Source organism: Homo sapiens, chromosome 6 (assembly GCF_000001405.40).
Source record: "Homo sapiens chromosome 6, GRCh38.p14 Primary Assembly".
NCBI classification, from domain to species: domain Eukaryota; kingdom Metazoa; phylum Chordata; class Mammalia; order Primates; family Hominidae; genus Homo; species Homo sapiens.
The window spans coordinates 4,488,745-4,502,827 of record NC_000006.12 but is presented as its reverse complement, the minus strand read 5'-3'; the positions used below and the strand labels follow the sequence as shown (position 1 = coordinate 4,502,827).

At 43.8% G+C, this 14,083-nt stretch overlaps 2 long non-coding RNA genes across 5 annotated transcripts in view; one reads left to right on the top strand and one right to left on the bottom strand.

The window, feature by feature from the left end:
• LOC105374894 (uncharacterized) overlaps nt 1–14,083 on the top strand; it is a 154,998-nt gene that overhangs the window by 81,018 nt on the left and 59,897 nt on the right. Inside the window, exon 3 of one of the 4 annotated variants that reach the window (XR_926409.3) lies at nt 4,502–5,444. The exons of the other annotated variants lie outside the window; for them this stretch is intronic. This is a non-coding gene — a long non-coding RNA (uncharacterized LOC105374894). Of the gene's footprint in view, nt 1–4,501; nt 5,445–14,083 lie in introns of those variants that run through there. 4 annotated transcript variants of the gene reach the window in all.
• LINC02533 (long intergenic non-protein coding RNA 2533) lies at nt 7,057–14,030 on the bottom strand. Its single transcript, NR_149117.1, has 5 exons — nt 13,798–14,030; nt 13,533–13,701; nt 13,019–13,152; nt 11,975–12,148; nt 7,057–8,946 (listed from the first exon to the last, which is right to left on the bottom strand). It is a non-coding gene; the product is annotated as a long intergenic non-protein coding RNA 2533 (long non-coding RNA).

Below are 14,083 nucleotides of genomic sequence, written 5' to 3'. Positions count from 1 at the left end.
GTCCTCAGAGCCGGACAACACCACACCAGTAAAGTGGAGTCTTCCTTAAATGCACAGTTGGCCTGGAAACTGAGGTCAAATAAAAGTCCGGTGGTGGGATTTACATAGGGAGGGGCAGTGATTCATACTCATATGAAAATCCAGCAGGTTATACACATGGGTGACATACTGAGTTAGGTAGAAAACAGGGCATGGTGGGGACTACAGAGCTACATGAGCTACACCAGGGCATGGTGGGGACTACAGAGCTCATTCAAAGGGCAGATGCAGCCACATTGCTGCCATTCGAGAATGAGGGCATCACATTATCAGATCTCTTGAGCTTTCAAGGAAAGTCAGAAATCTGGGCTTTTAGTGCACGTCTCCAAATTCTAAAATACATCTGCAAGTGCCCATTGATGGATGAATGGATAAGCAAAATGTAGTCTATCCACACAATGGAATATTATGCAGCTCTGCAAGGGAAGGATGTTCTGACCCATGCTACAACATGGATGAGCCATGAGGATGGCTATGCTCAGTGGAATAAACCAGTCACAAATAATTTGATACGGTGTTATTACACTTAAATGAGGCATAAAAATCATAGAGACAGGAAGTATAATGGTGGTTGCTAAGGGTTGGAGAGAGGGGAAATATGGGGAGTTATTGTTTAATGGGTAGAGAGTGTCAGTTTTGCAAGATGAAAATTTCTGGAGATGGATGATGGTGATGAGTGCACAACAATATGAATGTACTTAATACTACTGAACACTTAAAAATGGTTAAGATGGTAAATTTAATGTTATGTGTATTTTACAACAATAAAAAACTAGAAAATAGAGTCATAGGATCCAGCAATCCCATTTCTGGGTATATATCCAAAGAAATTGAAATCCAGATCTCAAAAAGGTATCTCACTTCCATGTTCATTGCGGCATTATTCACAATAGCCAAGGTATGGAAACAACCTACATGTCCATTGGTGGGTGAATGGATAAAGAAAATGTGATGCAACAATTATCCCCCAAATCTGAGGGGGATTGGTTACAGACACCCAGACACCAAAATCCACAGATGCTCAAGTCTTTGATATAAAATGGTGTAGTGTTTGCATATGACCTATGCACATTGTCTTGTCTACTTTTAATAATCTCTAGATTACTTATAATAACTAATATGATGTAAATGCCATGTAAATAGATGTTATATTGTATTGCTTTAAAATGTGCATTATTTTTTGTTGCTTTTCCCCCCAATACTCTTGATCCATGGTTGATTGAATCTGCAGATGTGGAACCTACGGACATGGAGGGCCAACTTCACATATAATGAAATATTATTTGGCCGTAAAAAGGAAGGAAATCCTGCCATTTATGACAACATGGATGGACCTGGAGGACATTATGCTAAGTGAAATAAGCTAGACACAGGAAGCCAAATACTGCCTCATCTCACTTCTGTATAAAACCTAAACTAGTTAAACACATAGAAGCAGAGAATAGAATGGTAGTTGCCAGGAGCTGGAGGGAAGGGGAAATGGGGAAGTATTGGCCAAAGAGTTCAATTTGTGTAAAGTTTCAGTGTGCAAAATAAGTAAATTCTGGAAACCTCCTGTGCGATATAGGGCATATGATTAACACCACTATATTGTGTTTTAAAAAATTTGCTAAGAAGGTAGATTAAGAAAAACAAAGAAAACCAAAAAACCCAAAGGCAGCAGAAGGACACTTTTGGAGATAATGGAAAAGTTTATGGCATTAATATTGGTAGTGATGATGGTTACATGGGTGTATGCTTATCTCCAAACACATCGAGTTGTATACATTAAATATCTATAGCTTCTTGTATGTCAATTATATCTCAATAAAGCGGTTTAAAAAATTGGATAAAATATTTCGGCAAACACACCAATTCTCAATAGCCCCATGCTGCCCAACACCACAGAAGCCAAGCAGACCCAGCCACACTCTGGATTTGGTCTACAGGTTATGAGGCTGACCTCCAGGATAAACTAAGAACTGAACTGCAACTGGTGGGCAAGAACCAAGGGGGAGTTCAAGCCCTCAGAGACGGTGCCAGCCATGATATCGAGATCTTCCCTGCAGCCCAGGGCCAAAATTACAAAAGCTTCCACTGTGTGACTTTTATTATGTGGGTGAGTTACAGAAAACAGATGCTTCACTGAATTAACTGGATCACTGCATCTGCGTAGACATGTCATCCAGTATACTCATGCGATGTCACTCATCTGCCCCCTCCTACATAAATGATACACAAAAAAGTCAACAATCAGAGAAACCCAAGCTCCTGGATGTCAACATCCACTTCTGCTTGGAGTTGGTTCCTTTCATGGAGACATACACCCCTCGCCACACACCTGCCACCTCCCTGACCCTCGCAATCCCTGGCATGAGAAGCTCCACCTTGTCAAGAGCAGACATTCTGAAAGGCTGAAGCCAGGAACCTTAAAGGAAACATTCTGCCAAGTCCACCACGTAGGATCAATGGAGATGGTGGTAGTGTGGTTATTGGCTTACCCAGCTCTGGGTGTAGAGTGCTTTGGGGAGGAGGAAGGAAGAAGAGCTGATCCTGCCTTCTCAGGGCTTTAGCACATAATGGTGATATATTGTTTTTCTACAAGTTGCCATTAAATAATGATGAGATTTTACTAACAGTCACTTACCGAGGCTATGCTGTGCCAGGCAGTGTGCTGGGTGCAGGGTCTTTCTGATTCCTGTTCCTGAATTATTTGCTCTGTGAGGAGAACTGGACAAGTAAGACAATGGTTTCTGTTCTGTTGGATTCTTTAACTCAGTTGGAGTTCACAGCAATGGAACAGTTGAAGTGTTTTGTTTTTGTTTGTTTTTCTTTTCTATGTATTTTATGAGATCAAAATGAGACAAGATGGGGTGTCTCTGTTCTTTCTGCTACTAGGAAAAAATGTGTTTTATTTCTGTTTTCAGTAGAAATAATTGTAAATTCTGAACTGCACAGAGAGCCCTCACACATAACAGGTTCAGGAATAATTCTAGGAGAGTCACATGGTTTTCCTTGGCCTGGAGGAAAAAAAAATCTGCTTAGTTGTATGTTGGATTGTTGCTCAAATGGATAGATCAGTGGAGAGCCTTTTGTGGGAGAAATTGTGCCATACAATTTCAAAATGGTATCTTTATTCATTAAATGCTTTAATGTCTAGACATTGAGCTGGATATTCTAAGGACATGAAGGTCCTTGTCCTCACAAGTTTAGAGTAAAAATAATAACTACTATTTTGTTGAGGACTTATCCTATGCCAAACTCTGTACACGTAATTTTGTTCAATCTTCCCAGTAACACTTCTGAAATAATCAATATTATCCATTTCATAAAATGGATGAAACTTGAGGCTGTAAGAGCATGTTAAGAATGTATTCAAGGTCACATAACTAGCAAATGGCCGGGCAGGGATATTTTTGCCATTAAAGTTTATAATTTAACCATCGCTCTATCCTGTCTCCTTTAGATTTAATATGAGAAATGAGATTCACACACAAGTGAAAATAGAGCATTGTTGATTGATCCTATCTGAAGTAACCTCTTGCTGTCAGAGCCACATTTTCCGACTGTCTTTACTGTTGGCAGGTGTTTATCCTCTGAAAATGAACTTGACTTTTGGAAACAGCCAACATCCTTGGCATCAAGCCTGGCAGGTGTGGTGGTCACTACCACTGCCATTCTGAAATATGGTGAGACTGAAGTATTGCCACTGACTTGAAAACATTTCCAAGTGAAGCATTTAGAAATGTTTTATTTTGTTAAAAACAGCTTTATTGAAATATAATTTACACACTATTCAATTCCCTTAAAGTATACAATTCAATAATTTTTGTATAATCACAGCATTATACAACTGTCACCACAATCAATTTCAGACAGTTTTTGGAAGCCCCCAAAGAAACCCTATGCCCTTCAGTCATCACTCTTCAGTCCCCCATCTCATCCCAAGCCCTTGGCAACCACTCATCTACTTTCTGTCTCTATTGATTTGTTTTCTGCATGTTTCATATGAACAGAATTATTTAATATGTGGTTCCTTGTGACTAGCTTCTGTTTTGTTTTGTTTCTTTGTTTTTAACCACTTTATTGAGATATGATTGACATACAAAAGCGGTAGAAATGTAGTGTATACAACCCGATGTGTTTGAAGCTCTGTGTACACCCATGAAACCATCATCACAAGCTATGCCGTAATCTTATTCATCACCTCCTAATGTTTCCTCTTGCCACCTTTGTTTTTCTGTTCATTTTGTCTTGTTTTCCTTTTGTGCTAAGGGTACTTATCAGATCTACCCTCTTAGTACATTTTTAAGTATGGAGTATTTTAATCATATGCCCTACGTTGCACACTAGATCTATAGAGCTTACATATCTTTCATGACTGAAGCCTTGCACCCTTTGTGGAAGAAAGTGTTGACTTTCTGAAAACAGCTGTTGCAGATGCTTGGTTCTGGCCAGTGATGATTCTCTCATTTTGTCCCAGCTTCTTTGCATCCCTGGAGGAATGAATGACCTCCCCATGTGCTGGGGTTGAAGTTATGGTTGATAACAGCATACTGCAGATTGACCACCCAGTGACACACTGTCATCTCCTACATGTCAGAGAGTCACTGCTCATCTTTCCCCTTTGTCCGTTTGGATTGGAGTGTCAAGCTCTGGCCTGGGCTTCAGAACTTCCAGGATGGCATGTGGCTCTCACAGAGAGTCTCCTCCAGCTCCCGTTCACCTTGGCTGGGGCTCTGGGCTCCTTCCTGATCTTTCAGATGCTCTAGGTCATGCCGATTATAGCCTTACCTTGCACCCCACCAGACAGAAACAACTACCCCAGGGGCAAGCCAGGCTCGAAGGATTTTGCTTCAAGAACCTTCCACACAAATGTGTTTCATTTGGGATTTCAAAGCATCTATCTACCTTCTGTCTTCCTCTGTGTCAAAGGCTCTTCATTTGTGGTCCACATGACCTCAGACAAGTTATTTCACCACCCAAGGCCTTTGTTTCCTCATCTTTAAAATAGTGGTGGTAGGGTGATGAATGGGACCCACTTCATTCAGCTGTTATTTGAAACAGCACAGACTTGGCTGCTTGACTTGACATGAATCCACCCACTTTCTATGAGTTTGGGGTGAGTAACTTCTCTGAGCCTCTGTTTCCCCAGCTGTACCATGGAAGCAATGCTTTGTATGCCATAGTTTTGTTGTGAGGATTAAAGAAAAGAACATATGCATGGAGGTTAAGTCAGACCATGAAATACAGAAAATGCTCAATATTAATTATTATAATCTTACTGTGTACTCTTGAAAGTTTATAAGTTTATGAATAATTTTGGAGGGATGCAGCCCATGAATTTTCTGCAATTATTTGCAAATATTTGTGTGTCTATCATGTGAACCTTTTCTGGGACAAGTTTCCATAATACTCATCTGATTCTCAAAAAGTCTACCTTGGCCTGGCATGGTGGCTCACACCTGTAATCCCAGCACTTTGGAAGGCCGAGGTGAGAGGATTGCTTGAGCCCAGGAGTTCCAGACCAGCCTGGGCAACATAGCGAGACCCCATCTTTACAAAAAATTTAAAAATTAGCTCAGTATGGTGGCACGTGCCTGTAGTCCCAGCTACTCAGGAGGCTGAGGTGGGAGGACTGCTTAAGCCCAGGAAGTTGATGCTGCAGTAAGCCGAGATCACATCACTGCACTCCAGCCGAGGTGACACAGTGAGCCCTAACTCAACAAGAACAAAAAGTCCATCTCCCTGTTTCCCAAAGTTGAGAACCTAGATGTTTAGACATGAAGACCTCATGAACACAAGACACAAGCTCCAGAATGGGGTTGCAAATCTGCCCTGTCCACGCTCTATTTCCTGTGTTTGAACTTGAAACCTTGAGATTAAGTCTCTTCTCAGTCCACAGCCAGCGCCCCACCCCAGGCCTTTTATTCGTGTTATTTGTGTGCAGGTTGTGTATTGTGGCCAGCTGCCTTCCTGGCTGAACTGTGAGCTCCTCGAAGGCCAGGGCTTAATTTTTCCTGTGTCCCCAATAATGGGAGGCTAAGCACAGATCTCTAAACCAGGCAAATGCTCTGGAAATACTCATGAAATAACTAGATGTCGGGGTTCCTTAGAGCAGTGTCCTGAGGAACCTCCAGGAACCATCACTCTGCAACCCAAGTTGGGAGAAGAATTGAGGGATAATCTGAAATACACAGACTCAGATCCCAGTTTGGGGTTGAACTCATTTCCATCTTCTGGTGGTACAAGTTTCCTTTCTCCAGTGTGATTGCTTGTACAGGTTGGGACAAGTTGGTAAAACTGGAAATAACAACTTTGCTCGCAAATGCATTGGCTAGCCTCACTGAGGCAATTTTGATGGAAAGAGAAAGGGCAAAGCAGGTAATACCTGTTATGCATTGTAAAATAAAACTGCTGTCAGGCTAAAAGAAATCTTTTGCTTGTCTTGCCCAAGAGATTCAGGGAAAATTGGTGGCATTTTTGGCCTGAAATCTGGACTGTTGCCATAATATTCTGATTGACTTGGGAAAATGGTTTTCTTGGAACATAGAAATCTAGGTACAGAGACAAGAGCTTTCTTAAGTTCTGTAGAAGTACTAGGAGTAGATTAAAAAGAGTGAGTCCTATCAAGTTTGGTAGATTCAGAAGAGGCATTATCGCTGGGTGCAGTGGCTCATGCCTGTAATCCCAGCACTTTGGGAGGCCAAGGTGGGCAGATCATGAGGTCAGGAGTTCGAGACCAGCTTGACCAACATGGTGAAACTTCGTCTCTACTAAAAATACAAAAATTAGCCAGGCACAGTGGCACGCACCTGTATTCCCAGCTACTCCAGAGGCTGAGGCAGGATAATCGCTTGAACCCGGGAGGTGGAGGTTGCAGTGAGCCAAGATTGCAGCACTGCACTCCAGCCTGGGCAACAGAGTGAGACTCTGCACCCGGTGTGAGCCACTGCACCCAGCCCGTATCTTGCAATTTTCACTTAACCATTCACAGAAGCATTTTTCTTAAAGAGATAGTCTTTGTAACCACCATAATTAGTAGTCATATAACATTTTATTGAGTGTATGTACCATAATTTACTTAGATATTCTCCTACTGATGAATCTTTAGATTGTTTCTCTGGTGTGCTATTATACTGAATGCCACAGCAAACATCTTAGTGGAGAAAGGTTTTCTGCAGCTTGAATCATTCTCCTAGGCTTGGTTCCCAGAAGGAAAATCAGAGCCCTGGATCAGCAGGTATGGAGGCGTGGATGCTTTCAGAGTGCCTTTCCCCACTGTTCTTCAAGAGGCCTGTACCAGTTTACACTGGCAGCTGCAGAATACGAACGTTCCAGGGTTCACAGCTGAGTTTTTGTTTACATGGTAATATAGAAATGGACTGCCTGGCATGATCTTCTCATGGCCTATTGCCCCTAGGACTGCTCTGTGGACAGATAGGAGGAGGCAGGTCTACTTCCTGGGTCACCAAATGCTCTGGAATCATAACCTCACCTTCTCTCCTCTAAGACAGATTATCCTTGCTCATGGTCCAGAGTAGACTTAGGGCATTCTTTTTTTTTTTTTTTTTTTTTTTGAGACAGAGTCTCACTCTGTTGCCAGGCTGGAGTGCAGTGGTGTGATCTCAGCTCACTGCAACCTCTGCCTTCTGGGTTCAAGCGATCCTCCAGCCTCAGCCTTCCAAGTAGCTGGATTACAAGCACAAGCCACCATGCCCAGCTAATTTTTGTATTTTCAGTAGAGACAGGGTTTCACCATGTTGGCCAGGATGGTCTTGATCTTGTGATCCACCCGCCTTGGCCTCCCAAAGTGATGGGTTTACAGGCGTGAGCCACCGCGCCGGGCCCAGAGTTAGGGCATTCTGAAGCCCAAAACCAGAGAAGGCTGAGGAAATTAGCAGGTAGAATCTACAGTGCAGGTTGCAGTGAGACTCTTGAGCCAGGCCTTACCCATCGCTTTCTCTTGCTTGGCATTGTTGCCAGGGAGTGAGAAAGTCAAGCTGCTGCTTTGCATTAGATCTCAGCCTTCCCAGGAGCACTTTATTTGGTGAGTGGCCAAGACAATCAATATTTATTGTTCTGCCAATCGTGTTCATAGATTCAGGATTGCATCCGCAGCACCTAGAACATGGCCTGGAGAGAGTGGGCACTCAACATCTATTTGTTGAGTGCAAGAATGACCGAGTAGCAGAATGGGGGCAAGAAAGGCTTTATTTCATATGAGGCATATTGCAGGCAATGCTGTTTCCTGACCAAATGTAGATTTCGCTCTTCTTTATTGACAGAACTTTCCTTTCATGTACGGTTGCAGTGTACCTGATGAATCCGCTCATTTCCCCAGGCCCCTTGCATCTAGGGGCAGCCATGGGACACAGTTTGGATCCATAAGATGTGCAAGTGCAGCCTCAGAGTCTCTGGGGAAGCAGATTTTCTTCTTTCCTGCTTTCCCCCATTTCTTTTTGTGAGCTTGAGGTAGAGCAACCATCTTACCACCAAAAGATGACAAACCTGAGGATGAAAGTCACAGCCTGAGGATGGGGCCGAGTAAAGAAAGGAGGAGTGAGATGCTGAGGTCGTCCTGGGGCTGCCGCATCAGCCCAGGACGCTGTAGTTTTGAGAAAAATTGAACTTTTCTTGGATAAGCCACTGTGATTTGGTTTTCTGTTGTACGCAGCTGAATGCCATCCTTTCTGATACAAGGAACTTGAGGCCCAGGAAGTTTCATTTGTCCAAGGTCATGATGATCGTATGGGCCAGAAATAAGACCAGACCTAGGTCTACATAGTTAAGCCAGCCCTTTGATTTCCCCAAACACCCCTTGTCACTAGGACCAATTTTAGATCGGAAGAGCCCTCAAAAACACTTTGAGATTATGTGCATTTGCAAGTATTTTGGGAAGAGACTTGGTAAATACCGTCTTCTGACCTGCTGGGGAAAAAGGATTTCATGAGAATACTTATGCACACAAGGGTTTCACCTTTATAGTATAGGCTCTAGTCTAGATATGAGCTCCCTGGAGGGATATTTACTTAGTAGGAGAGAAGATAAAATATTAGAAGGCGTTTTTTTTTTCTTTAGATTGCCATCAGCTTTGTTAACCCTGTCCTCATATTTCATAGAAAATTAAACATTGAACCTGAAAAATTGGATTTGGCATTTGATATTTTAAAACTCTGACATGGCCTTCCATATTTTTTTGTTGTTTTATTTTTAGGAAAGTCTAGAAAAGGCTGCGGATACAACTGTCAGTGTGTATTGTCTTGATTTTCTCCTACTGTGTTAAAATATGGCCCCTTTGGCAATATTTCTCAAAGAACTGTCTTTAAATGACATTTGAAAACCATCTACCCTGTTCACGTAGTTTTGTTCCTGGATAAATCGTCTTCTGCTTTATGGAAGTGACTTATAAAAGAGACTCAGATAAAAGAGAGAATGAGGGTTAAGCTCATGTGATGTCTCATTGGCTGAGATGAACCAGCAAAGAAGTATTTTCATAAATCAACCAGAGTGTTTTCCTTTGAAAGCCAGAGAGGAAAGTACTGCTGAGAGGTTTGTATCTGGTGCATTTGTCAGCAACAGGTAATTTCCCAGAGGTGGGATGAGCAAAACCATACTTTCAGTCCATTATTTAAGCATCATCCTACAGTTTAGAAAACAATTTAATGAATGAATAAGACCTATTTGATAGCACAATTGGGTGACTATACTCAATAATAATTGTATATTTTTAAATAGCTTAAAGAGTATAATTGTATTGTTTGTAACTCAAAGGATAAATACTTGAGAGGATGGATACCCCATTCCCCATGATGTGCTTATTTCACATTGCATGCCTGTATCAAAACATCTCATGTACCCCATACTCATGTACCTACTATGTACCCAGAAAAAATTTTAAAATAATTTTAAAAATTTAAAAAAAGAGGCCGGGCACAGTGGCTCACGCCTGTAATCCTAGCACTTTGGGAGGCCAAGGTGGGTGGATCACAAGGTCAGGAGATCGAGACCATCCTGGCTAACATGGTGAAACCTCATCTTTACTAAAAATACAAAAAAAAATTAGCCAGGTGTGGTGGCGCGTGCCTGTAGTCCCAGCTACTTGGGAGGCTGAGGCAGGAGAATGGCGTGAACCCAGGAGGCAGAGCTTGCAGTGAGCCAAGATTGCACCACTGCACTCCAGCCTGGGCGACAGAGCAAGACTCCGTCTCAAAAAAAAAAAATTAAAAAAAAGAATGGGCCAGGCACGGTGGCTCACGCCTGTAATGCCAGCACTTTGGGAGGCCGAGGCTAGTGGATCATGAGGTCAAGAGATCGAGACCATCCTGGTCAACATGGTGAAACCCTGTCTCTACTAAAAATACAAAAATTAGCTGGGCATGGTGGCGCACGCCTGTAGTCCCAGCTACTGGGGAGGCTGAGGCAGGAGAATAGCTTGAACCTGGGAGGCGGAGGTTGCAGTGAGCTGAGATCGCACCACTGCACTCCAGCCTGGCAACAGAGTGAGACTCCTTCTCAAAAAAAAAAAAAAAAAAAAAGAATGAATGCTTTAATAAAAGAAAATAACCTAAGGACAATGGATGTCAGTGCCATGCCCACTGCTTATGACTGCTACGCACCAGCCAGTTTCCATGGGGCATGTTTTCGTGGTTGCTGCACTCACTCCCATTGTTCCCTTCAGATGTGAATACACATCATAAAATGTCAGATGACTTCCTCCAGCTGACATGCTGACTCTGACTCAGCTCTGCCCTTCTCTTCATGTTCTTCACTGGCCATAAGTCCGAAGACATCCGGATGCTGTGGGATCCTGAATAGCTCTTGTGTCTTAGTCCTGTCCTTCCACCACATCTCAGAAGCCATGCCAATGACACAGCTGTGTCTGGAGGGGACGCTGTGCCTGCTGCCACCACTTGCCCTCAGCCCAGGGGTGGAATCAATACTGAGGATGACAGAGGGACAGATGGAAAGTCCTCCGTGACACTCACTATCAATCACATTGCATCTGGAGCTCGCCTTGTCTCTGGATTCCTGGTTACAGGGACAATAACTGTTCTTCTGGTTAAACCAGTTGAATCAGATGTTTATAAATGGCAGTCAAAAGTATGGACATGTCTAGGAAGGGCTGAAACTCTTGCAGTAACCCAGCCAATCATCTGTGATGTCATCTTGTCTGGCAGCCTGTTAAGCCATAATCCATCTCTTATAGCTTGAAAAGCAACAACTGCTGGTGGCTACCAGATTTAACAAGAAAGCATAGAGGATGTCCAGTGAAATCTGAATTTCAGATAAACAATAAATAATTTTTACAGCATTACCATGTCCCACATATTGCATGAGACACACTGATATGAAAATACCACTGCTTGTTTATCTGAAATTTAATTTAACTGGGCATCCTGTATTTTATCTGACAACTCAACTGTAGGTAGGCCCCGGGGGAGACTTTTGGGGTGCCTGTGAGGGTGCATGGGTTCTGCCAATCCTGGGGTCCTGAAAACATATTTGTGTAGGACTCATTTGAAATTAAAGACCATTCTCTGGGGAAGCCATTTCCCTAGTAAGTGAAAGAGAACCCTGTGGTTCTCTCACTAGTGAGCCCCTCCCTAGTGGGCAAGGTAAGTCTTCTATTTTTATTGATTGATTGATTGATTGAGACAGTGTCTCACCCTGTCTCCCAGGCTGGAGTACGGTGGTGCAATCATGGTTCACTGCAGCCTCAACCTGCTGTGCTCAAACAATCCTCCCACCTTGGCCTCCTGAGTAGCTGGGACTACAGGTGCATGCCACCACACCCAGCTAATTTTTGTATTTTTTAACACGGTTTCACTATGTTGCCCAGGCTGGTCTCAAACTCTGGACTCAACCAAACCTTCTGCTTCAGCCTCTCAAAGTGCTGGGATTACAGGTATGAGTCTCAGGGCCCAGCTATTTTCTTTTCCCCTCTTCTTTGTACCTTGGCCTGTGGTCGGAGCACAACGTATCCTTTTTCTTCCTTCTTCCCTTTCTTCACAACTGACCCCCACCTCAGACTCCAGAGTATGCTGGGCTGTGGCTGCCTGACAGGTGGACCTTGTCCTCTGGGAGTGTCTGTTCTTTCTCATCAGCAGGGATGCTTCTCTCTCTGGTCCTGGAAAGTAGTGGGCAAAGGAAGCCTTTCAGGCAGCAGGTGGGGGTTGATTGCCCCAGAAGCCCTTGGTTTCTGGTGTCTGCTCTGGGATCCTGGCATCTAGTTCTACTGACCCTCTTGGCTCAGGAGCTGATTGGATGCCCAGGACCTGCCTTAGGGTGTCACCAAAGAGGGACTGATCCCTCTCCACATCCCACCCTTAATGGAAATGAAACAAATGTCTTTTCCCCTTAGTTGAGATCAGACTGGACTCTTAAGCAGCAGCCTTTCTTATTTAGGAAACTGGAAAATCAAAGCAAACACAGTAGTCCAAACATATAAATGGCTGTGTTTGCAGAGGCCACTTTCTGGTCCTAACCTTCTCTGTCATAGAGCAGATGCGAAGAATCCAGTCTTGAAGCTTTCCCATCCTTTCAACCTCTCTGGACCAGATAAGCAACTGAGATAGACTTGAGTGGTGCTGCCTGAGGCTGGCTGTGACTTTCACGTGCTCCCAACACCTGCTCCCACCTCCTACAGTACATTTCACTGCACGACCCCACCCTCGGGGACCCACTGGCTTCCCTCTCTGACCTTGAGGGGCTTGTCTCCCTGGTCACTCTCCCCTCCTATGCCTTCTTCCCCCTCCCAGGAGTCCCCACGGCTCTACTTCCATTTCCCTCTGTTCGGCTGTCCCTTCAGTGGAGACCTGAGTCCTCCCCAGGGGGTCCGGGGCTGCCTGCAGGTCATGTAGCCTTGGAGGCAGCCTCTGCCTTTCCCTGGATGTGTCTGCATCCCACAGCTTCCTGTGACAGCCAGTAAGGGACCCTTCTTCCCTTCTGTTTCTCTCTCCAGCCTCACGGTCCTTTGCCCCAGATACTAGACACCCACTTGTGTTTGCTGAGAAGTCTCTGGCCTTTGGTTCCTGCAAAGATAAAGATCTCGATGCCAGATTTCATTATCTTCAAAGAGCAGCAGTGACGTATGGCTTTATTTGGTTGCTAAACCATGTCAAGTTCACTTCCCTGGGGTTATAATAGTAGAAAGAAGAGAAAGAGAAACCAGTTTGTCAACAAAGACAACCTGGGAGATTTTCTAGAGTTCCAATTCTTATTCGATGGCCTTTTATTGAACTTTTACATATGTGACCTAACTTATTCCTTCTACAACTTTTTAAAAGGATGACAAAAGGGGCATATTCATGTGTCATTACTCCCCACCCAACTCTGTCTTCATTATGGGGCCCCCACCCTTATGTCTTTGTGATGGGCTGGAGTGGGCCTCTCTAAAATTTGTATCTTGAAGCCCTAACTCCCAGTATCTCAGAATGTGGCTGTACTTGGAGACAGGGCCTTTAAACAGGTCCATTAGGGTGGGCCCTAATCCAATCTGACTGTGTCCTCACCTCATGAGAAAAGGACATCCGGACACACAGAGACACCGGGGATGCTAAGGTGGAGAAGGGTGGTCATGTGGGGACACAGGGAGAAGACGCCGTCTGCAAGCCCAGGAGAGTGGCCACAGGAGATACCAACACTGCTGACACCTGGATCTTGGACTCCCAGCCTTCAAAGCTGTGAGGAAATAAATTTCTGTCATTTAAGCCCCCAGTCTATGGTACTTTGTTAAAGTAACCCTAGCAAACTACTCCAGTTTTTAAAATTGCTCACCAAGGTTATAGTCTTTCTGGTGTTGGGTACGGTGGGTTCCTCTTCAAAGAAGAGTCAGCTTGTTCAGCTTCCTTGTTCTTTGTTCTCTATTTTCAAAGAGTAACTTCCTCGTTCTTTATGCCCCCTTGCCTCTAATTATGGTAAACAATCTTCCCATCAGTCCTAATCTATAACTCACATCTATTCCCTACTCTGCAACTATCCTTTCTGCCTTTACTGCACCCTAAAATTGTAAGGGACAGCCTCTCCCTTCCTGCCTAGTTAGCCCTGTTCAATTTTAAACAGT